Source organism: Homo sapiens, chromosome 11 (genome assembly GCF_000001405.40).
Source record: "Homo sapiens chromosome 11, GRCh38.p14 Primary Assembly".
NCBI lineage: Eukaryota > Metazoa > Chordata > Mammalia > Primates > Hominidae > Homo > Homo sapiens.
Window position 1 is genome coordinate 92,963,954 of NC_000011.10, and position 21,477 is coordinate 92,985,430.

Here is a 21,477-nt window from a genome sequence, read left to right on the forward strand (position 1 = left end):
AGATTCTTTTGATCACCCCTGAGTTTATCCTAATGAAGTGACTTAGGGTATGGCCCCTAGACAGCTTAGGATGGGGCTATTCACTAGAAATAACAAGTCATTAGAGGATTGGAACTTTCAGCTCTGTCCACAGACCTCCAGGATGTGTTTGCATTGGGTGGTACGGGGATGTTGGGGAGCACTGGAGATTGAGCTCCATAAAAACTCTTGAACCAGGATACCTGGAGAGCTTCCATGTTGGTGAACAGATCAAGGTGCCAGGTAATGGTGTGCCTCTAAAGAAGCTCTGCACACCACACACACACACACACACACACACACACACACACACCTTGCCCTGTGTAGCTATTCCTTTTGGCTGTTCCTGAGTTGTAGACTCTAGAATAAACTGGCAAACATTGAATTATACATAATTCATATGTAGATATATTTATATATTTAAATATGTATGTATTTATTTGCTAAACAATCGATTCTGGGCAGTGGGTGATAATAGAGAAACACTGACCGAGCTTACTTAGGGTCTCTGTATCCCGAGGGAAGGGTCAGACCCTTCCGCTTGAACATTGAGCTGTTAGATTAGATTCAAATCTGAAATAACCGGCACAGCAACTCCCATTCTGATTCCTCTGAAGGGAACGAAAAAGTCAGGAAAGGTAAAGATCATGCAACCAGCAGCAGAGAGAACATGCCTGCTCTGACCCCGCCCAGCCTGGCTCAACTACAGGATCGTCCGACTGGTTTCTGCCACAGGCATGTGCTGGGAAATATGAGGGAGGCTGCCCAGAAGGTGGTGGCTTTGTAGTTGTGTCTTGTTTAAACTCTTTTATTGTAGAGCATCCTTCTTTCCAGGCCATTCTTCACCTGAGGGAAAGATTAGGGCAGCTTCACGATGCTAGGCAGTGGTATATTTTTTTAGTGATCTGTATAAACCATTTTTTTTTCAAAGCTGACAGCAAGAACATCTGGAGTCTTACTCTATTTTCTCTCAGGGTTCAATCTACTCAACATTGTTGAGTTTCCCTATCTTTCTTGTGAGGTAACAAGGGTCTGTATATTTTAATATATCCCACTGCAAGAGTAAAATGGCCCCAGGTTCTAGGATCGGGCAGCCTAGGTTGCAATCCTAGCTCTGAAACCACTAGCTCAGCAACCTTGGGTAGGTTTCTTAACCTGTGTAAATCTCAGTTTCTTCACAGTACACAGTAATATGTTACATAGAGATGAGAGGATTAAACAAAAGAATGCAGATGTCCCCTATGTGTAATGCAGAGCAATTACTAGATATTAGCTGTGTGCTAGTTACTCTTTATAGCATTATTAAAAGTGCTTGTCAGCCATGCTACAAGCTGATTACCAAAAGAAAATTTTGCTTATTTTCTTTGTATATTTCATACTGAAGGAGTAAAAGCTGTCACACTTTATTTATTTATTTATTTATTTATTTATTTATTTATTTAGTGACAGGGTTTCACTGAGTTGCCCAGACTAGAGTGCCCTGGCATGATCACAGCTCGTTCAGCCTAGACCTCCCAGGCTCAAGCAACCCTCCTGCCTCAGCCTTCTGGGTAGCTAGGACCACAGGTGCATGCCATCGTGCCTGCTAATTATTTTATTTTTTGTACAGACAAGGTTTCACTTTGTTGCCTAGCCTCAACTCCTGGCCTCAAGTGATCCTCTGGCCTCAGCCTCCCAAAGTGTTGGGATTACAGGTGTGAGCCACTGTACCTGGACCTCATTACACACTTAATAAAATAAATAGATTGCATAATGCCACTGGTCACTCATCAGCCACCAACCTTGGCAATTCACTTCTCTGACAGTCTGTTTCCTTCTTTTCTAGCTGGGCCAATCACTGCTATCTCCCAAGATACCCTGGTTGAAAGATGTTTGGGAAAGGTTTCAAGTACTATCTGGAGTAAAAGGTGTTACTGTTGGGATACATGACAATGAGCTTCTACGGTCAGATATTCATTTGAGTTTGAACTTGGGATACGTGTTGAGAAAACCAGTTCTGCTCAATTTTTAAATCCTAGGACACTCGGTAAGCATTCAAAATGTTGATTTATTTCTTTGAGAAAACATCTAGTAATCTTGAAACTCTCTTGTCTTTTTTCCCTCTCCTTCTCCAGAGTTTGATTTTCTTCCCATAAAATTTCATTATACTGTTGGCAGCAACTATTATTTTTGCCTTTTGTACAAATAATCTTTTTAGTTTATATTCAGGCACAGCAGTATCTGCGATGCTATAGTTTACATTACAGTTCACTCTTGGTGTTGTACATTCTTTGGGTTTTGACAAATGTATAATGACATGTATTACCCATTATAGTATCATATGAAACAGTTCCTCTGCCTTAAAAATCCTCCGTGCTCAACCTATTCATCTTTCCCTCACCCCAAACTCTTGGCAACCACTAATCTTTTTACTGTATCCATAATTTTGCCTTTTCCAGAATGTCATATAATTGGAATCAAGAAACAGTATGTAGCCCTTTCAGACTGGCTTATTTCACTTAGTAATATGCATTTACAGTTCCTCCATGAGTGTTCATGGCATCATGGCTCATTTCTTTTTAACACAGAATAATATTCCATTGTCTGGATGTGCCACACAGTTTGTTTATTTATTCACCTATTGAAAGACATCTTGGTTGCTTCCAAGTTTGGGAATTATAAGTAAAATTGCTGTAAACATCGGTGTGCAGGTCTTTCTGTGGACATATATTTTCAACTCACTTGGGTAAGTACTAAGGAATACAATTGCTCGATGCGATGGTAAGGGTATGTGTTGTTTTGCAGTGCATCACCAAACTGCCTTCCAAAGTGGCTGTATCATTCCCCCACCATTTTAAGGCACAGCCTGGCCAGCCATGCCAGGATGTAGCATTGACTTCTTAGATAGGTGAACATCCCAATTCTTTGTGCCTATCTTGAGATATGCTATTATGGACAATCACATTCCAAGGCAGCATAGGGCAAATTCCTATGTTTCATGCTCAGTTTAACAAATGTGTGTTATTAGAGGGTGTGTCTGGATGGAGGTAACTTATACTGTGTCCAACTCACCTATTGCTATGTTGGCGTGTGAAAGTTGAGAAGTGCCACGATGTGTTTGCACCTGTAAGACAGGGAAGGCGTGGCTGTCTCTTCTTCCTGAAAAAGCCTCTTGGCTTTGACACTGCCCATTGGTGTCTCTTTCCCCTTTGCTGTTGCTCTCCTGAGGACATGTTGGTCATTCCTCCTCATTCACTGGGGATTCGCCTCCTGACTCATAGTTTTCCTTTTCTTACCCCACCATAATATCCACCCCCGACTTCTCAGTTCCTTTACCTTCTCATCTCTAACAACATTTTTCTCACCTTCCACCAGCAACCCACTACCCATAATCACCCTCAGAGCCTTCACAGCAACAGAATCTACATGCCTCAGACATCTCAGTTTCAAACAACTCACCCTTTCAGCACCACAACTTACATTTTCTGATTCACTCACCACAATTCCTTGAAGTCACAGGGCCTGCAATCTCTTGACTTTTCCTTTGTCTCACAGCCCATCAGCCCCTCTGTTTTCTCATCACCCCTCATTAATGTAAACCCCAGGATCCATCTTCTCACCAGGCCCCTGAACTTTCTTCTGTTATTTGCTCCTACCCAGCAGACCCCAATCCTGACTGAAATTCACTCTGCCTTCTCCATGCCTGTCCTGAGTAGCTCCAAGTTGCTGATTAACAACCACTGGCCAGGCTGAGTGGCATCATTTGAAGCCATCATCTCAAGCTGCAGGGGGACATTCATGCTCCTGACACGCCTGTTATACTTTACTAGTTAATGTTTCCACTTTCTGAAGTGCTCCTTCATATCTTTTTTTTGTCTTCAAATCTCCTACACTGTTCCCCTGAATCCTGGCTAATGGGTAGCCTCTATCTCCCTGAGAATACAGAAGCCAGACAAGAGTTCTCTTCTTTCCTCACACCAGTTTAGAAGTGCATCTGAATTTGCATCTGGCTTCTGATTCCTTTCTACTACAAGAAAGAAAGCCTCCCTCTCCTAACAAATAATATTTCTTCCTTGGGTTTTGGATGAGCTCACTTTAAGGAGTTCTGGATTAGCTCACTTCAAGGATGAGCTCACTTCACCTCTCCCTTCCCTCTCCCTTCCCTTCAACATCCACTCATGCCTCTGCATCATCAGCCCCTCCGTCTCCACTGCATCCTTCCTTCTTTTTTTCCCCCCTTTAAAGGAGAGGGGCAATATAACTTACGTAAAATAACATATGTAAAAATAACAATCCAGAAATTTTTTGGTGTTTGTTTCTCAATACCCACCCTCAAATGTAACCACTTTTCTGATTTCTATTAGAAAATAGATTAATTTTCCCTGATTTTGGACTTCCTATAACTGGAATAATATGGTATATATTTTTTGGTATCTGGCTTCTTTTGTTCAATACAACATATTTGTGATTAATCCATGCTGTTGTGTAGGTCAATCATCTTTATTGCTGAGTAGTATTCCATTGCAAGGTCATACCATAATTTGCTTATCCATTCTTCTGTTGGTGGAAATTGCAGGTGTTACCAGATTTGAGCTCCTATAAACAAGGCTGCTCTGGACATTCTTGTACAGGTCTTTTGGTGGAAATATACTTTCCTTTTCATTTGGAACTTCTGGTCATAGAATAGGTGTATATTTAACTTTATTAGGAGCTAACAGACAGCTCTTCAAAGTGGCTATACCATTTTGCATTCTCATAAAAGCAGTGTATGAGGGTTCTGGTTGCTTAACTTCCTCCACAAATATAGGATAATCAGTCATTTTGATTTTAGTGATTCTAATGGGTGTGAAAAGTGCTTTGGGGTCATAAGATTAGCCCCCATTAGAAGTTATCTATTATTATTATCACCAGATCACGACTCAAACATTTTTAATAAAGGGCACCTGAGTTCCTTCTTTATTGTAATCATGCCTCAATCTTCTTCTTGTCCTAACCCCTCCAAAAACCACATCATAACCCCCAATATTGGCCATACATCTATTTAAGTATTATGTGTAAATATATGTTGGTAAATATGTTAAAGTATTGGCTTTATAAAGAGGACCCAGTAGAGACATCATCAATGCCCCCCACAATACCCAGCGAGTGCTTGGAAAATGGCTAGGTTCGTATTTTTCTGCAGCTCCCTAGAATATAACAGTCTACCCTACTTTGTTCTGGGCTCTGTCCCCACATCTTAGGAGTTGCATTCTCTTTCGGGCTGCACAGCCCTATGGGACGTCAAACCTTGCCTTTCTTGACAACTGATGGGAGGTCCCTACCATCAGCACCTTCTCCAGTCTATCAACCTGGGTTGGACGTCCCTACCTAGACACAGCTTCTCTTGGGGACGCTGTGGAGGAAATCGGGGTCTCGGGTGTGGCTATATACTCAGGGACAGAAGCTAGACGCGCTCCGCAGCCTGAGGTGGGCCAGGCACCTGCTGGGCTCGGGGTGGCAGAGACAGCTGTGCGGTCCCAGCTGTTCCTGAGCGCACCGCTGAGGGACGCACTCCCTTCTACAACGGCTGCACCCCAAGTCCTCCTCCCATTCCTATATTTTTCTCCATCCCCTGCCCACGCTTAATTAGTTATCTCCTCCAGACCCCTCCCCACTGGCCTCCTCCCTTGCACACGCGAGCTGGGCAGGGAAGAGAGCGCCCGGCTCAGTACTGCGCGCGCCCTGCGGCTGTCCGGGGCCGCGCGGTGGCCAAAGCACAGCGCGGGAGAGTCTGCGATGTCAGAGAACGGCTCCTTCGCCAACTGCTGCGAGGCGGGCGGGTGGGCAGTGCGCCCGGGCTGGTCGGGGGCTGGCAGCGCGCGGCCCTCCAGGACCCCTCGACCTCCCTGGGTGGCTCCAGCGCTGTCCGCGGTGCTCATCGTCACCACCGCCGTGGACGTCGTGGGCAACCTCCTGGTGATCCTCTCCGTGCTCAGGAACCGCAAGCTCCGGAACGCAGGTGAGCACCATTCCTGATGCTGGGTGCTGGCATCGGGCCCTTCCTTGTCTTCTGATCTTGTCCCTGACCCCGGGATATGCGCTGCCTTTTCCCTCCTCAGCCCGGGCTCCCCTTTCCCTTCACTCTAACCTATTCCTTAAGTTTGACTCTGCACTCAAAAGTTAGGGTGAGTTTTGCCCCTCCGAAGTGCGGCTGCCCAGGACGCGCTTGGCACAGAGGGAATTGCGGAAAGTTTTACTGGCGCGCTTTTTGGCCGGGCGCCGGCGCTGTGGGAACCCACGCTGCTGGATGCCATCGCTACCCCGTCGCGCTCCAATGCGTGTCTTTCCAGAGGTGCCCACATCAGGCCACAGAAATCTCACCACCTGTACTTGACATCCCACTTCCTTCCTTGCCAAGCACTGTAGCTTTATGTAGTAGTCGCTTAGAAAATCCTTGCTGAAAAAATGAGTTAATCAATGGAAGCATTTCAGTAGGTTTTGTGTCAAAAACTTATCTCCAGGTCATCTGAAGACCCAATTCCAGTTGACGGAGAGTAAATGCAGAAATTGCAGATTCTGCTTGGACTGAACTAAATTGCTTTGAAATATTGTGGTCTTTTCCGAAGACTGGGAATTCCTGGGATTAACTGTGAAAATTAAAGCAATGATTTGGCTAAATCGTGTTGTAATCCTGAAAATATTTTTCCTATTTCAATCCACTCTCATTTCAATATTCCCCTAGTCAGGTCTTCAAAGAAACAAAACCAGAGTGGGGGGCAGTATCTGAACTCTAGCCCTCACAGGTCATGGGGCATGATGACCACTTCAGCTTAGGAAGGAGCTCAGTCACCTGTTTGTTAATTTTGCAGTTTCTTCAAGTTGGGCCTTGGGAGCAAATTCAAATATTAGAGTGAATTAAAATGGAAAGATAGCAGCAGTAAAACAACCATATAGCTTAAAAATGCTTTTCTAAGGAGTCAGACCATTTTTAGCAAATAGTAATATGTATTTGGTGTGGCCTGTGACTCTAGAAATTTTTTTTTTTTGAGATGGAGTCTCTCACTCTGTCACCCAGGCTGGAGTGCAGTGGCATGGTCTAGGCTCACTGCAACCTCTGCCTCCCAGGTTCAAGGGATTCTCTTGCCTCAGCCTCCCGAGTAGCTGGGATTACAGGCGCTCGCCACTACACCCAGGTAATTTTTTATATTTTTGGTAGACACAGTATTTCACCATGTTGGCCAGGCTGGTCTCGAACTCCTGACCTCAAGTGATCCACCCGCCTCGGCCTCCCAAAGTGCTGGAATTACAGGCATGAGCCACTGCGCCCGGCCAACTCTAGGATTTTTAGCTAAAAAAACAAACAAGAAACTCCTCCAACTGTGAGTATCCAGCCATCATATGGGAAACATAACATTATTAAGAAGAAGTAAACTTTCTAACTCACTTCAGTAGTGGTGGCTGTTTTCTGGAATACATTGTTCAAAATATTGTGTCCTTTGAAGAAAAGCTTATATATTAGGGAAAAACAGGTTATGATTAGAAAACTGCATTTAATATTTTTGACACATTGTCCCTTGCAGCCATCATAAACATTCATTTCCAGCACAGGGAAGCAAAAGGGAGACAACTCCTGGCTCTATGGGGGAGAAATGGGTCCTCCTGGTTCTGACATTGGCCCCTTCTGTCCCTGACTTATTGAGTATTTAGAGCAGGTCTGTCAGGCCATGGCTCCCTGCTCAGTAATTTGGATTGCCCACCATGAGAAAGGTGGTTGAGGGAAGTAGGAGTTGCTTCCTTTTGCTGGAAGGAGAAAAGCACCCCTCCCCTCCTGCATCCTACAGAGGGCTGGCCTTTTCTGTGATCCTGGCAGGGTCTGCAGAAACCTAACCAGTTTAAGAGCATCACTGGGGAGGGTCATGAGCATGTTAAATTGCTGGCATATCCTCTGTTCTATCTTTCCTACCTCCTGATGTGTCCGCTACAGCCCAGCACCCGAACAAAAAAAAATAATAATAACACTATATCTAAATGACATCAATTCCTGCCACTGCTGCAGTCTTGCAATTTAACCAGTTCTTATGTGACCTCTGGCTTTATTGGTGACAGTCACAAACAATTGTAGTACTGACTTGAACTAAATGATCTCAGCAGAGTGAGATTTCAAAAGGCGCTTAAAACCTACAGCTCTTTGAATAGTTAGCACACATTCTACTCTTAATCAGGCCTTGTCTTACTGAAGAGTTTGGATTTAATTTAAGAAACGCTTCTTCAGACCTTTCTGTACTTAAGTCTGGCTCCTTAAATCATTGGTATTAAAAAATTAAGTCTGTAACAATGAGAATACATATATTTCCAATAACCAAGATACATAGCCCATATTGAGGTCACAGCATGTTTCCCAGGAGACACCAGTATCCTTTACTTGCCTATCACAAACCCAGTTCCTCTATGGAGCAGATCTGTATCATTCCTAACAGTGCCGCTCCTGATGGCAGGGTGAGTGGTTAGATTAATTGTCTTTTTTTTTTCAGGGATATCCTATCTGTAGTGTCTGTTGCTGCATGTGGTGGGTTGACTTCAGAGATAGCACCAGAGAAAGGCAGACAGGGAGGAGTGGAGGCAAGGTGGGAGGTAGGGTCAGGGCACCGACCCAACTTAAAAGGTAAGGCCAAGTGTGTTCACTCTTTGCTACATTCTCAGAGTCTTGCACAGCCCATGGCACTGGGTTGGCACCTCACGCCTGTCAGATTGTGCTTCCCAGGGACTTGCCACACTTTTGACTCTACTGAGAGCCGTTGAGAACTTTCCCTCCTGGGCTCACCACTGCTGCCCTGACCCTTGAGCTACACCTCGCTAATATTTATCTCTTGCATTTTTGAGCTCTTCCTTTCTCTCTTCTGGAAACTTCCTCCATGTTACACACACACACGATACACAAAGTCTCCTGTTTTAAAAGAACAAAAGACTCTTTTCTTGACTTCATGTCCTCCTAACTTCATCACTACCTCTCTCCCTCCCTTTTCAGCCAGACATTTTAATGTAGTTGTGGACATCTACTGGTTCTACCCCATTGCTTCCCGTCCTTCCTCAGTCCTCTGGGCGCCATTCTCTGGAAATGTTCCTCTGTGCTGTGTGTGACACTGAGGGCCACTCCCTCTGTGGGACCTTTCATTCCCTCGGCTAACCTGGTGCTAGTTTTTGGATCTCCTTTTTCTCTTCATCTCCCGGATACCTGTGCCCTGAAAGTCATCTTTGGTTCCTCCTACTCTTTCATTCCACATGTCCTAATGATTTTACCTTCCACTATTTCTCAATTTCTCCCTTTCCTGCCTCCTTATTCTTACTGCCCCACTTCATGCCTTCATCATCTCTTGAGCAAACACTATCCATAGTGCTTGAGAGCTTTTCCTGCTCCCTCCCCCAGCCACTGTTACCACTGCCAAGAGTTTCCCTGTCTTCAGTGGCTGCCCTCCATCTCCAGAACAGTGTCCAACTCCAGAGCACAGCTCCCACGGCCATTTGCGGCTGGCCTAGCCCACCTAACTTACAGCCTCATTGCCCTCCTCTCACCAGTGTCACAGTGAGCTGCTGCTACTTCCCAAAGGGTCTGCACTCCCTGATGTACTTTCTCTACCTCTTCTGCCCAGTCAACAGCTGCTCCTCCTTCAACTCCTTCCCCAACTCCCCTGAAGGATTATCAATGTTGATTATTAATACCATGAAGGGGATAGTAAGTGTCTCCCTTGTTGGGCTTCTAAGATACCTGTGCCCTCCCCAGTACAGCATCCCCCTCACTGTACTATTGTTCTTTGTCTCTCCCCGCTGGACCGTGTACCTGCTGAGAGCAGACACTTTCATTCAGTTTCTGTCCACAGAGCCAGACACATAGTAAGAACAGAACACATCTCTGATTAAATTGGAAATGGATAAGACACCAGGTAGTGGGGGAAAATTAATTGATTTTGCTCCATGAGCTGGGATAGACCTCAGTTACAGTACTCAGCACTGCATAAGTAATCAATACAGGTTTTCATGAAACTGAACTGCTTTGAGAACAGCCCAAAGTATATCTCATGTTAAGCTGACTATTGGCACCTTCTGCATGAAGGCATGCTTGTTCTGTGATTCTCCTGTGTGAGTAAAGTTGCTCAGCAGTTTCCAGCCATGCCATGGTTGTACCCTACTGATTCCTCTTGGGGAGTTTGCCCCTGATATGCTTTGGCTGTGTCCCTACCCATGTCTCATCTTGAATTCCCACATGTTGTGGGAGGGACCTGGTGGGAGGTAATTGAATCATGAGAGCAAGTCTTTCCCATGCTGTTCTCACAATAGTGAATAAGTCTCATGAGATCTGATGGAAAAAGAGAAACTCCCCTGCACAAGCTCTCTCTCTTTGCCTGCTGCCAGCCACATAAGACATGACTTGCTCTTCCTTGCCTTCCACCATGATTGGGAGGCTTCCCCAGCCATGTAGAACTGTAAGCCCAATGAAACCTTTCTTTTGTAAGTTGTACAGCCTTGGGTATGTCTTTTGTTGTTGTTGTTTTTTGTGAGACAGAGTTTCACTCTTGTTGCCCAGGCTGGAGTGCAATGGCATGATCTCGGCTTACTGCAACCTCTCCTGCCTCAGCCTCCTGAGTAGCTGGGATTACAGGCATGAGCCACCACACCTGGCTAATTTTTTTTTTTTCTGAGACAGAGTCTTGCTGTCGCCCAGGCTGGAGTGCAGTAGCGCAATCTCGGCTCACTGCAAGCTCCGCCCCCTGGGGTTCATGCCATTCTCTTGCCTCAGCCTCCCGAGTAGCTGGGACTACAGGCGACCGCCACCTCGCCCGGCTAATTTTTTGTATTTTTAGTAGAGACAGGGTTTCACCGTGTTAGCCAGGATGGTCTCGATCTCCTGACCTCGTGATCCGCCCGCCTTGGCCTCCCAAAGTGCTGGGATTACAGGCGTGAGCCACCGCGCCCGGCCTAATTTTGTATTTTTTAGTAGAGATGGTGTTTCTCCATGTTGGTCAGGCTGGTCTCAAACTCCTGACCTCAGGTGATCCACCCACCTCAGCCTCCCAAAGTGCTGGGATGACAGGTGTGAGCCACTGTGCCCGGCCTTGGGTATGTCTTTATCAGCAGCGTGAAAACAGACTAATACAGCCCCTTTCTTGGTCTGGCCCGAGGTGGCCACTTTTAAGCTGCCTGTAATATGCTGGCCATATAAGAGAGCTGAGAGAACCATGTCCTCACTGTAACACCCAAGTACTCTCCACTATCAGAGAGGAAGTCATAACAACACCAGTTATTCCTGGCTCCATAGGCACAGCCACCTTAATTTTCCAAGTAGCAGTCAGAAGCTGTGGTCTGACAATGGATTTTTGTGCTGCAAATGGGTTAAAGAGGCTGTCTGGGAGGTTTAGTGAGTGCACGAATTGGCATTTCTGGGGTACGTTGATGATTGGTAAAGCAGAAATATATGAACTATTTGATGTTAAGATTGCCTAGGAAAACATGGAGGATTTGCTTGCTGAACACACAGATCTTTGTCCAAGGTCACTCTGTCTATGCTGGCAAAGCTGCCCCTCCTCCAGGCCCCCAGTGATGCTAAGAATTCACACCATCTCCTATCCAGAACCAGTAACTGCCTGGGAGGTTCCTGATGGGAATATTCTGCCTATGCAGGTGCTTTGCTTCCCCGGTTAGATTAGAAAACAGTCTGCACTGTGGCCCCTGTTCCTTGCCTCCTCTCTTCCAACTTGTTGACTGAGACAGCAAATGATGCTTAATAAGCAGCATGGTTCTGAACAAAGGCTCTGGAAGGCCTAGAGTGAAATGCTTAATAGGCCCACAGCCCCTACCCTCCAAGTTATAGAATGAAGTGGAGCCCACTCCATCAAGGCTTCTATCCTACCACCGACCACTCATTGAGATGTCACTTGGCATCAGGTGTCTTTTGACTTGCTCAGCCTGCAATGTTTAGAGTGCCATTATCAGCCCAAGACCAAACTGGGTAACCTTGGACTCCTTCCTGAATGTTTCTTAAGCTGTCCAACTTTGCATTTCAGCTGTGAATACCTTATTGCCTCTTCACTGAGCAAAAATGAACAGTTTTTAAATCCCATAATTATGTCTTTAGCTGAATAATCAGGAAAGCTAATAATCCTCTTTAATTCCTCCCATGTAACTTTCAGTAGCTCAAGGGTATAAAGACTTTAATGTTTGCCTGTCTTTATCTCCAGAAAGCTGGATTCTGCATTCGGATATGATATACCACAAAATTCAGAGAATACTGAAAGCTCCTACTGGCTCTTTCAATTTAAAATACTTACTGCTGGAGGAGTAGAGATAGAGAATTGGGAAGTAAAGCCCCAGTTCTTAGGGAGTTTGCCATCTAGAAGGAATGTCCTACTTTCTTCATCTTCATGTCCTTACTACTTCTCACATCTTATCTCACAGGGATCCCAGTCCAACCTTATGAGCCTCTTTCTTGATCTGTCAGTACAGCTAATAATATAAAACAGTAATAACAAATAATAGCTAATATTACTAGTGCTTGTTATATGCCAGATTCAAGTCTCTTTCCTTTAAGAGAGAAAGAAAAGGCAAAAAAAGCCCTCCACTGTCCCCTATCAAAGGGATATTCCTTCCTAAGCGCCACTCTCTATCTCCTTCTTTTGAAGGCAACACTGATAGAGCAATCTCCAGGGCAAAACTGGATCCCCAAGCTCTCAACAGAATTTGTTCTTGTTAATGTCACTACTGCCTTCCTAACTACCAAGTCCAATGAGCACTTTTCTGTCCTTTCTCACTTTTGTAGATGACCAAGAAACTCTCTACACCCTTTCTCTTAATTCCCTTGATATTTCTTTTCTTTGGTTTTCTCCTCTTCTTGTTCTTTCTCAATCCTTCTGTGTTATGGCTATGAGCAATTCACACAAACTGGGTGTCTGTTTCTTTATCTATAAAACAGAAATCATGCTGTCAACCTTAAGGAATTCTTGTGAAAAACAATGGAGTCCATTTATGTAAAACTATACTATCAACTTCACCATGTTATATCAATGGTTGTTTTGTTGCTATTAAGTGTAAAGTAATAAAATGTTACCTATCAGAATTTCAAAATGATCTCTTTTGATGGTTATTGAAGAATATTTTGTAAAGCATCTTAGTTATGTTTTTAAATGGATGCTTATGTTCTTAAATATATTTTCTTCTTTTAAGTGGTTGAAATACCCCCATATATATCTGTGTACACTATTGATTAGCCAGTTTTTGTTTTCTAATTAAATCAAAGTTAGATTTCAACTCAGCTCTTGTATGATTCATCCACACATCCTAAGATTTTCATAAATATGTGACTTTGGAAGAAAAAAATATCTGCTCTCAAGAGATTTGGGAATCTAATTACAAGCTTACAATAAATGCATTGTTTTAGTGTTTGTTTGAAAATCAAGTTGTGAATAAATTATATGGTCAATTATTTCAAATGCCCATCCCCAGAACATAATAAGAATATCTCACATTAATTTGGTGATTATTGTTATTTCTCATGACCTTTCCCATACAACATCTTATTTGAGGTAAACAGCCATTCTGGGAGTTAGGAGTTCTGTTGCAAAAGTCTTGGTAATTTTGTGTAGCTCCTTGGTGAATTGTCGTGCCTGACCAACCCCATATCCTGCCATTGTCCCCAGTCCCAAGTTGACTCACAAATTCCCCACTGTTCCCACCACCTTGTTCTGGCCTTTCTTCCAGCTCTCACCTAATTGAATGGCTACTGTTTTCTTTTGTTTCCCTAACAGTTCCATGGGCATCTCAATGGCAGGGGCCATGTCTTTCATCCATCACTGCGTCTTACTTGAATGTGGTAGGCACTCAATAAATATATTACACATTTAAACAGATGGAAGAGTGGAAGAAGACCTCAAGGCACAGAAAGTTTAACACTGTTAGAAAACATAGATCATTTGTTGACTTCCCCAACATATCCCTCTTGGCACCTTGTTTTTATTTGTTTAATGGTCTTCCCTAAGAGACCATAAACTTTATAAGGGGAGGTAGCCTGTCCATCTGGCATAGTCAAAGGCAGAACCTAGTATATACTCAGCAATATTTGTCACATAAATGACTTGATGATTCTCTCTTTCTATCTTGTCTTTTAGCTCAATGACCAAGGAGAATTTATGTCTAACCAAATTTTTCTTCTGAGCATGGAGGGTGAGCACAGAGGAGGGGGGCAAGGGTTACAGGGAGCTTTACCTTCCAGAATTCTCCTATCTGACGAATATTAGATAGCTCAGCACTGGCTGGCTCTTTCCTAGATTACCAGATCTCCATTAAGAAATACATTTTCCAGAAAGAAAGAGAGAGGAAGAGAAGAGGGAGGAGACTGTGATGGTTGTGTGTGTGAAAGGATGCGCTCTGCGTATGAATCCTGAAGGGGATTCCATGTTAGTAAACAAAGCCCTCTTGTCAAAGCCTCTCTCCACTAATACACCCTATCTGCTGGAGGCAGATGGAAACGAGTCACGCCAGGACCCATGACATAAATATTCATTATGCACACGGTGACTGCAGTGCTGTGTGCATACTGAGTGATTTCTCACCTGTCTGGGGAAGAAATGGATGGAGAACTGGATCTCCCCTTGACTATCATCCACATAGGACCTGGCTTCTTACAGATGGAAGACAAAACACAAATTTTATTCATCTAATTTGGAATTGTGCCAAGAAAGCCTGGAGACAGTGGGATGTCTGGGCAGATGAATCTATAGCAGGAAGTGGTTGATTTCAGCCTTTTAGGAACAGCCAGAGTAATAGGGGATAGTAATTGAATCACTTTCCACATGGAGTTGAATGTGTTCTTCTTACTATTTACAAGCTGTTTGCCAGCCTCTGGGGCATTATTAGGGGATAAGCCACATTAACACAGCAGAACTTGACTCTGCCTTCACAGGGAAACAGCTGGCAGAGCTGGCACCGGCTCCCAGCAGCTCTTGACTTTCTCTGCTCAGCTTGCAAGTGCCAAGAGCTTGTGTGTTGCTGGGCCAGGTGCCCAGCGGGTCCTATGGAGACTCATCTTCCTGTGCTGGAGAGAAGTGATTCTCTTCACAGAACCAACCCTATGAGTGTGCAGGGGGAAGTGATGGCAGAGCTCTGAAAGAAAAGAAAGGAGCTCATGTAGGAATAGTCACCAAGAAAGGAACTCGGGAACTCGCCCAAATTCATTCAACCATAAAGTGGCAGGACTCAGATTATCCCAGATTTCTCTGACTTCAGCACAACCCTCCAGATTTCAAAAGGACACATAAAATTCTCAGGAGACAAGGGTTCCTGATTCAGCTGAAGACAAGCAATGTGAGAGAGGGAATCCCTCATGTTCTTGGAACCAAGTGAGGTCTGTGTAGATGAGTCAGAGATGGAGATCCAGCAGTGGAGACAGCCAGCGGGCTGAGAATTAAATTAAAAGGCACAAAACCCCTCCACATCCCAAGCAGGTCCTTGTTGCACATTTTTTGCCTTGCTGTACCAACCAGAAAGGAAATGAGGTCATTTTTAACCCATGAAGTAAATAAATCTGTGAATAGTAGAGTAGGTAGGAATCCAGCAGTTCAGTTGAGTCATGATTCTCCTTTGCCATCCAACTTGCTGGACAATCTTGAGACAGGGAAACTCACTACCTCACAAGCGCTCTAATTGTCCAGACAATCTCCTTTCTATTCAGTTACATCCTGTCTCCCTGGTTTCCTAACCTAGCTGTGGACACAGTAGTATTATAGTTAGGTCTTGAGAACTCCCAGGACTCCAGTAGACTTGTGTGGGTTCTCAGTGGGGTTGACCCCATTCCTCTGAGGTCAAAATAGGCCCTTCATGAAGGCTTCCTGAGGGTCTTTCAAGTTCCCATCCCCATTCGGACCATGCTATGGGGAATCTTCTTTGAGATGGGGTGAATGTGGGAAGGCTGGAGGCAGTCCTTTTCCTACCCTTGTGGGTGAATAAGTCCAGGTGTGCCATCTACTTCACTTGAAGGGCTGACTCAGGTGAAATCCCAGCTGGGCGGCTCTCAGCCTCCCTTTTTCTGTACCCCGTGGAATCCACACAGAGCCTGGCCTCTCCAATTGCTGTGCTTTGGGGGCTCTTTCCACCTGCCTGACCCTCTAGACCCCCAAAGCCACCACAGCCTCTGTGGCAATGGGACAGACACATGGTGGCTGTGGAGTTTCCATGTCTGTGTCTTTGCTGACTTGGGAGTTCCTCCTGCACACCATCCCAGCCGCCCTCTGCATTCCGCCACCCTAAGGCTGGAGGCTTCACCATGTGGCAAGAGACCAGAAAATTTAAAATACCATGCCCAGTGCACATTGCATCACTCAGGGACCCTGCTGGAGGGAGAGTCTGTTATCTTTTGAGCATACAGTAGGTATTCAAAAAGTACAACACTTGGTGAATGAGAAGATTGGCATTAGTGATGGAACTGCTCACACTATGAGCTTTGTATTGCCCAAACGTTTAGGTTCTTGGTGCTCTATTCGTGAGTCAGTGTTGGTTTTAGAACGCAAACACTTGAGGAGCAGAGATTGTGTTCTTTTAGAGTAAGCCCTGCCTCTGCCCTGGGACTCCAGCTTAGAACATGCCTGAAGCATATTAATTGATGGGTGTATCATTTCCTGAGGCTCTCTCTGGTTGACCAAGCTTGGTGATGTTGGATAAGGCTCCATTCAAAGGATAAATGCCTAGATAGTCCAGGAAGGCCACCATGGTGCAGGCAAAGCAGGGAGGCCCCCCAGAGGCTGTGAGCTTAGGAGTGCTGACAGCCCTTTCTCACCCCACAGGGCTGGGGCTCTGTGCCGCTACTGCAAGTGTCTGTCAACATGGCCACAAGGCTGGGAGTACTGGACCCAGACAGGGCACAAATGGGAATACCAGAAACACATGGTTCCCACTCTCAACACCTTTCTTCTAGTCCAGCTGCAAAATGCAATTCACATTTACAAAACCCATGTAAAGACACTTAGAAAGTAGCCTGTTAACCAGTGGGGAGAAAATGCAAAAGGAGACAACCAGAGAGATGTGCGAGGAGGTGAGGGAATGTGAGGGAGCGATGATAGTGATGAGAAATCCACACTCCTGACTTTCAGACTCTCCTCCTCCGAAATCTTTGCTGGAGCTTAAATGGTGCAAAGCCCGTGAGCATCTGTGCCTATCATGGAAACAGTTAGCATGTGTCAGCACCTGTTAAATCCCTGAGCACTTTGTATCATTAATTCTTACAGCTATACTATGAGGTAGGTATCACTGCCCCTAGTTCACAAATGAGGAAAATGGGGCTCTGAGAGCCTAAACAGCTTGCCTCAGTCATATAGCTAGTGAGTGGCAGAAATGCAATCTGAGTCTTCAGTTCTGTGCCTCTAAGAGCCACTTGGTTTCCACTCACATTGCCAAAAGTAACTTCGTGGAGGGTAGGATGTTCTACAGAATCTAAGTCGTGGGGTCTCGTGCTGACTGTTGCTCTGTTTGCTGCTTCAGGTAATTTGTTCTTGGTGAGTCTGGCATTGGCTGACCTGGTGGTGGCCTTCTACCCCTACCCGCTAATCCTCGTGGCCATCTTCTATGACGGCTGGGCCCTGGGGGAGGAGCACTGCAAGGCCAGCGCCTTTGTGATGGGCCTGAGCGTCATCGGCTCTGTCTTCAATATCACTGCCATCGCCATTAACCGCTACTGCTACATCTGCCACAGCATGGCCTACCACCGAATCTACCGGCGCTGGCACACCCCTCTGCACATCTGCCTCATCTGGCTCCTCACCGTGGTGGCCTTGCTGCCCAACTTCTTTGTGGGGTCCCTGGAGTACGACCCACGCATCTATTCCTGCACCTTCATCCAGACCGCCAGCACCCAGTACACGGCGGCAGTGGTGGTCATCCACTTCCTCCTCCCTATCGCTGTCGTGTCCTTCTGCTACCTGCGCATCTGGGTGCTGGTGCTTCAGGCCCGCAGGAAAGCCAAGCCAGAGAGCAGGCTGTGCCTGAAGCCCAGCGACTTGCGGAGCTTTCTAACCATGTTTGTGGTGTTTGTGATCTTTGCCATCTGCTGGGCTCCACTTAACTGCATCGGCCTCGCTGTGGCCATCAACCCCCAAGAAATGGCTCCCCAGATCCCTGAGGGGCTATTTGTCACTAGCTACTTACTGGCTTATTTCAACAGCTGCCTGAATGCCATTGTCTATGGGCTCTTGAACCAAAACTTCCGCAGGGAATACAAGAGGATCCTCTTGGCCCTTTGGAACCCACGGCACTGCATTCAAGATGCTTCCAAGGGCAGCCACGCGGAGGGGCTGCAGAGCCCAGCTCCACCCATCATTGGTGTGCAGCACCAGGCAGATGCTCTCTAGCCTGGATCTGAGGCACACCAGCAGCATGACAAACTCATGAAATGGTGGGAGAGAGTCTGCTGCAAGGGTGAGACCAGGCAGCCTGCTGGGCCACACTGTCCTGTTGGCATCACAGCCCCAAGGCTGGGGGAACTTCATGCTGGGACAAGCAGCCCATCAACGCCATGGGTTCAGGCTGATCCAGGAGATGCTCACAGGCCACAGGACCTGGAAAACACTCTTGGTGGTGTCTTGGGGATTTGGTGCACACAAGACCAAGGAAAGGACAGAATGAGGAAAGGCCTGGGGCAGAAGAGCCCAACTCCTTCTCATAGCTGACCCTCATCCTCCTGCCTTGGCCTCCTGGCTGCTTTCTCCCCTTCCCCCCAGCGTGGCAGGATCTCTTCCTGTTAGCAAGGATGAAAGAGAGAGGTCAGTAGGACTGGAACTTGGTAACTGCAAGGGCCTCAGGTGGGGCAGGTGCAGAGGGCAAGCATTCCACACTCCGCCATTGACCTTCCCTACACACACACAATCACAACCACACATGCATCACACCACAGACACACCACACTATGCACACATACACTGTGTACACATACATATGTTACACACACATAGCCACCACATCACAAACACACTGCACCCCCCCCCCCCACACACACACACACAGTCACACTGCTCCAGCATCTGGAGCACAAAGTCCGCTTGGCCTCCTTTTCTGGTTCCATCATGTTCAGGTTGTGTGACTTGGGGAAAGTCTCCTAACCTCCCTGTTCCTCAGTTTACTCATCTTAAAGTGAAGATCATGCCGTAGTCAGCCTCCCAGGTTGTTGTGAGGATTCTCTGGGATAACACATCTGCAGAGCTGAGGACAGTGCCTGACATGTGGCTAGCAGGCAGTAATCATTAGCTTTTGTTATTATTATAACTACATAAAATGAAGGAGAAAAGTCATATACAAAGAAAGGAAGGGCTATCACCGGATGCGGTGCCTCACCCCTGCCTCAGCTTGAACCCAGGAGTTCAAGACCAGCCTAAGCAACATGGCAAAACCCTGTCTCTACAAAAATTAGCTGGGCATGGTGGCCCATTCCTGTGGTCCTAACTACTCAGGAGGCTGAGGTGGGAGGATCACTTCAGCTCAGCAGGTTGAGGCTACAGTGAGCTGAGATTGTGCCACTGTACCCCAGACTGGGTGACAAAGTGAGAGCAAGACCCTGTCTCAGAAAAAAAAAAAAAAAGAAGAAGAAGTAGAAGGACAGGAAGGGAAGGGGAGAAAATGGGGTAGGGGACATGGAAGTGGGGAAAGGGCAGCTGCACCCCAATTCATTTCTATGGTTATGTATTTGTGGACTTTATATTCGTAGAAATCTCAGATCTTTGTTTAGCGCCAACAGAATTAATAGCTTTCTTCAGTTCCACAAACACTGAGTGCCCTCTGTGGGCCAGGACTGGTTTGTTGCCTGCCCTCTGCAAGGTCACAGTCTGTTGATAAATTAGTATCAAGTAATATCCATTGGTGCTTTCTATGTACCAGGCATTGTGGTAAGGGCTTGATATGCATTATGTCATTTAATCCCCACAAAACTCTTGGAAAAAGATACTATGATCAATTTTCATAGTAAGAAACTGAAACTCAAAAATGTGGAATGATTGCCAGAATTCAGATAGCTATGTTCAGAGCTAGATGTGGAGCTCAAGTCTGTCTGATGACAGCACCCTACTTCTATCCCCCATCATCCCACCTCGGAATATGTGGCAGGGACAAAGTGCAGTGGGCTAAGTACTGCATGTCCACAATGTGCCTGGGGTCCTCAGCCACCCAGCGGCTTTCCTGAATGAAGAACCCAGGATTTTCTTGGTGTGCTGACCTCTTAGCATTATGCTGGATCCTCTTTCTGGCCTTGCAATGTGAGGAATCTAGGCTGGGTGCTGTGCTTAGTCCCCTAGCCACCTGGGAGCTTGCTTAAAAATGCAAATCTTCTGGGCTCTGACAACAAGGTTTTGTGGGGCAGGTCTAGGAATCTGATTCCAATACTTGAGGTCCTTGACCTAACTGTTGGGAATGAAGATGTCTTAGTCCTGATGATGGCAATGGTAGTGTGCTCCACCCAGGGAGACCTCTCAGTCCACACCTCAGTCCCAGAGAGGTGCAGAAGAGTCCTAAGGATTCTCAGCCACTTTTCCTGGCTCTGGGCAAAGTTTGCAGCGACCTGGTCAGGCATGTATTGTTTTCTGTTCTTGCTGCTTCCCCTCCCCCTAGACACAAACTACAGAGATTTGCCCTTTATTCCTAATTTGGAGGAGAAGGAGGCATCAATTTCTTGGCAACAGCATGTCCACACTTCCTCTCCTTATCCCTATCTTTCAGTGCTGAGTTGAATGCATGGCACGTGCTCAGTAAATATGGATTGAAGGCTGTCTTCAGTTTCCTGGGCCCATAGCTGTTACCTGGTTTGCCAGGGTTCGGCACTGACAATCCACTAATTGGAATTTTTTCTTGGATCCATAGGTTTTTGGTGATAAACCAGGAGCTGAGAGAATCAAAAAGAATGGTAAAGCCCAGGCCCAGGACATCAAGCAATGTACATATTTGGAATGACCTCATGCTGTGGGCCCTGATTGTAAATAAAAATGCTTTTGCGGAAACAGCAAAATTTGGGGAAGCCTGTCTTCCACCTCCTTGACTGAAAAGTCTGGTCAGAGGTGCCACCTGGCTACTTCCTCCTCATCCTTCTAGGACCTTCCTCTGGACCCCTCAGTTCTGAGCCCTCCATGAAACCCTCAGCCATCAAGGGGACTCGAATCGGGTCCAGATTTCTGCCTGGGTTGACATCTGGGGTGAACCAACACCTGGACTCACACATCAGCCACACTGGATCAAGCCCAAAGACAACGCAGACACACACACTATTTGTGCCGTCCTCTATCATCTTTTTACCATCCACTCATTTCTTCCCAGTCCCCTTTGTCCACTTCTGAAATGCTGTACTTGTTTGTGAAACTTCTTCTAGGGTCACTTTTTGCTCCATATGAGTGGCTTTCCCCTAGGGATATATATCAAGATAAGATTTTAGAGAATAAACACTACAGAATCACAGCCTATGAGGGCCGGGGTTGCGAACCCCATGTACTT

The 21,477-nt window shown here is 46.0% G+C and overlaps 1 protein-coding gene and 1 long non-coding RNA gene across 4 annotated transcripts, besides 1 other annotated feature; both read left to right on the forward strand.

Annotated features, from left to right (window-relative positions):
* Positions 1,744 to 4,962, forward strand: LOC124902733 (uncharacterized). The gene is made up of 2 exons (XR_007062838.1): positions 1,744 to 2,044; positions 2,586 to 4,962. It is a non-coding gene; the product is annotated as an uncharacterized LOC124902733 (long non-coding RNA).
* On the forward strand, positions 5,698 to 21,007 carry MTNR1B (melatonin receptor 1B). 3 transcript variants are annotated; one of them, XM_011542839.3, is made up of 3 exons: positions 5,773 to 5,995; positions 17,494 to 18,770; positions 20,854 to 21,007. In XM_011542839.3, the coding sequence occupies exons 1-2, from the start codon at positions 5,773 to 5,775 to the stop codon at positions 18,357 to 18,359; spliced, it is 1,089 nt and encodes a 362-aa protein (XP_011541141.1). In that variant the 3' UTR covers positions 18,360 to 18,770; positions 20,854 to 21,007. The 3 variants fall into 3 exon arrangements, with proteins under 3 accessions (NP_005950.1, XP_011541141.1, XP_016873266.1); XM_017017777.2 differs by lacking the exon at positions 5,773 to 5,995 and adding an exon at positions 13,206 to 13,834; NM_005959.5 differs by lacking the exon at positions 20,854 to 21,007 and having other exon boundaries at positions 5,698 to 5,995; positions 17,494 to 18,829.
* Positions 6,246 to 6,745: an enhancer, noted in NCBI's record as "H3K4me1 hESC enhancer chr11:92703365-92703864 (GRCh37/hg19 assembly coordinates)". NCBI's record gives its function as "activates a minimal SCP1, AML or CMV promoter by ChIP-STARR-seq in naive H9 embryonic stem cells {active_cell/tissue: H9 hESC(naive)}" and the evidence as "EXISTENCE:reporter gene assay evidence [ECO:0000049][PMID:30033119]".
* Positions 21,008 to 21,477: the final 470 nt, after the last annotated feature.

Bases quoted from the DNA above. Each gene is read 5' to 3' on its own strand.
- MTNR1B (NM_005959.5), top strand. From the start codon at position 5,773: ATGTCAGAGAACGGCTCCTTCGCCAACTGCTGCGAGGCGGGCGGGTGG. The intron at 5,996-17,493 runs GTGAGCACCATT...TTGCTGCTTCAG, and splicing joins CCGCAAGCTCCGGAACGCAG to GTAATTTGTTCTTGGTGAGT.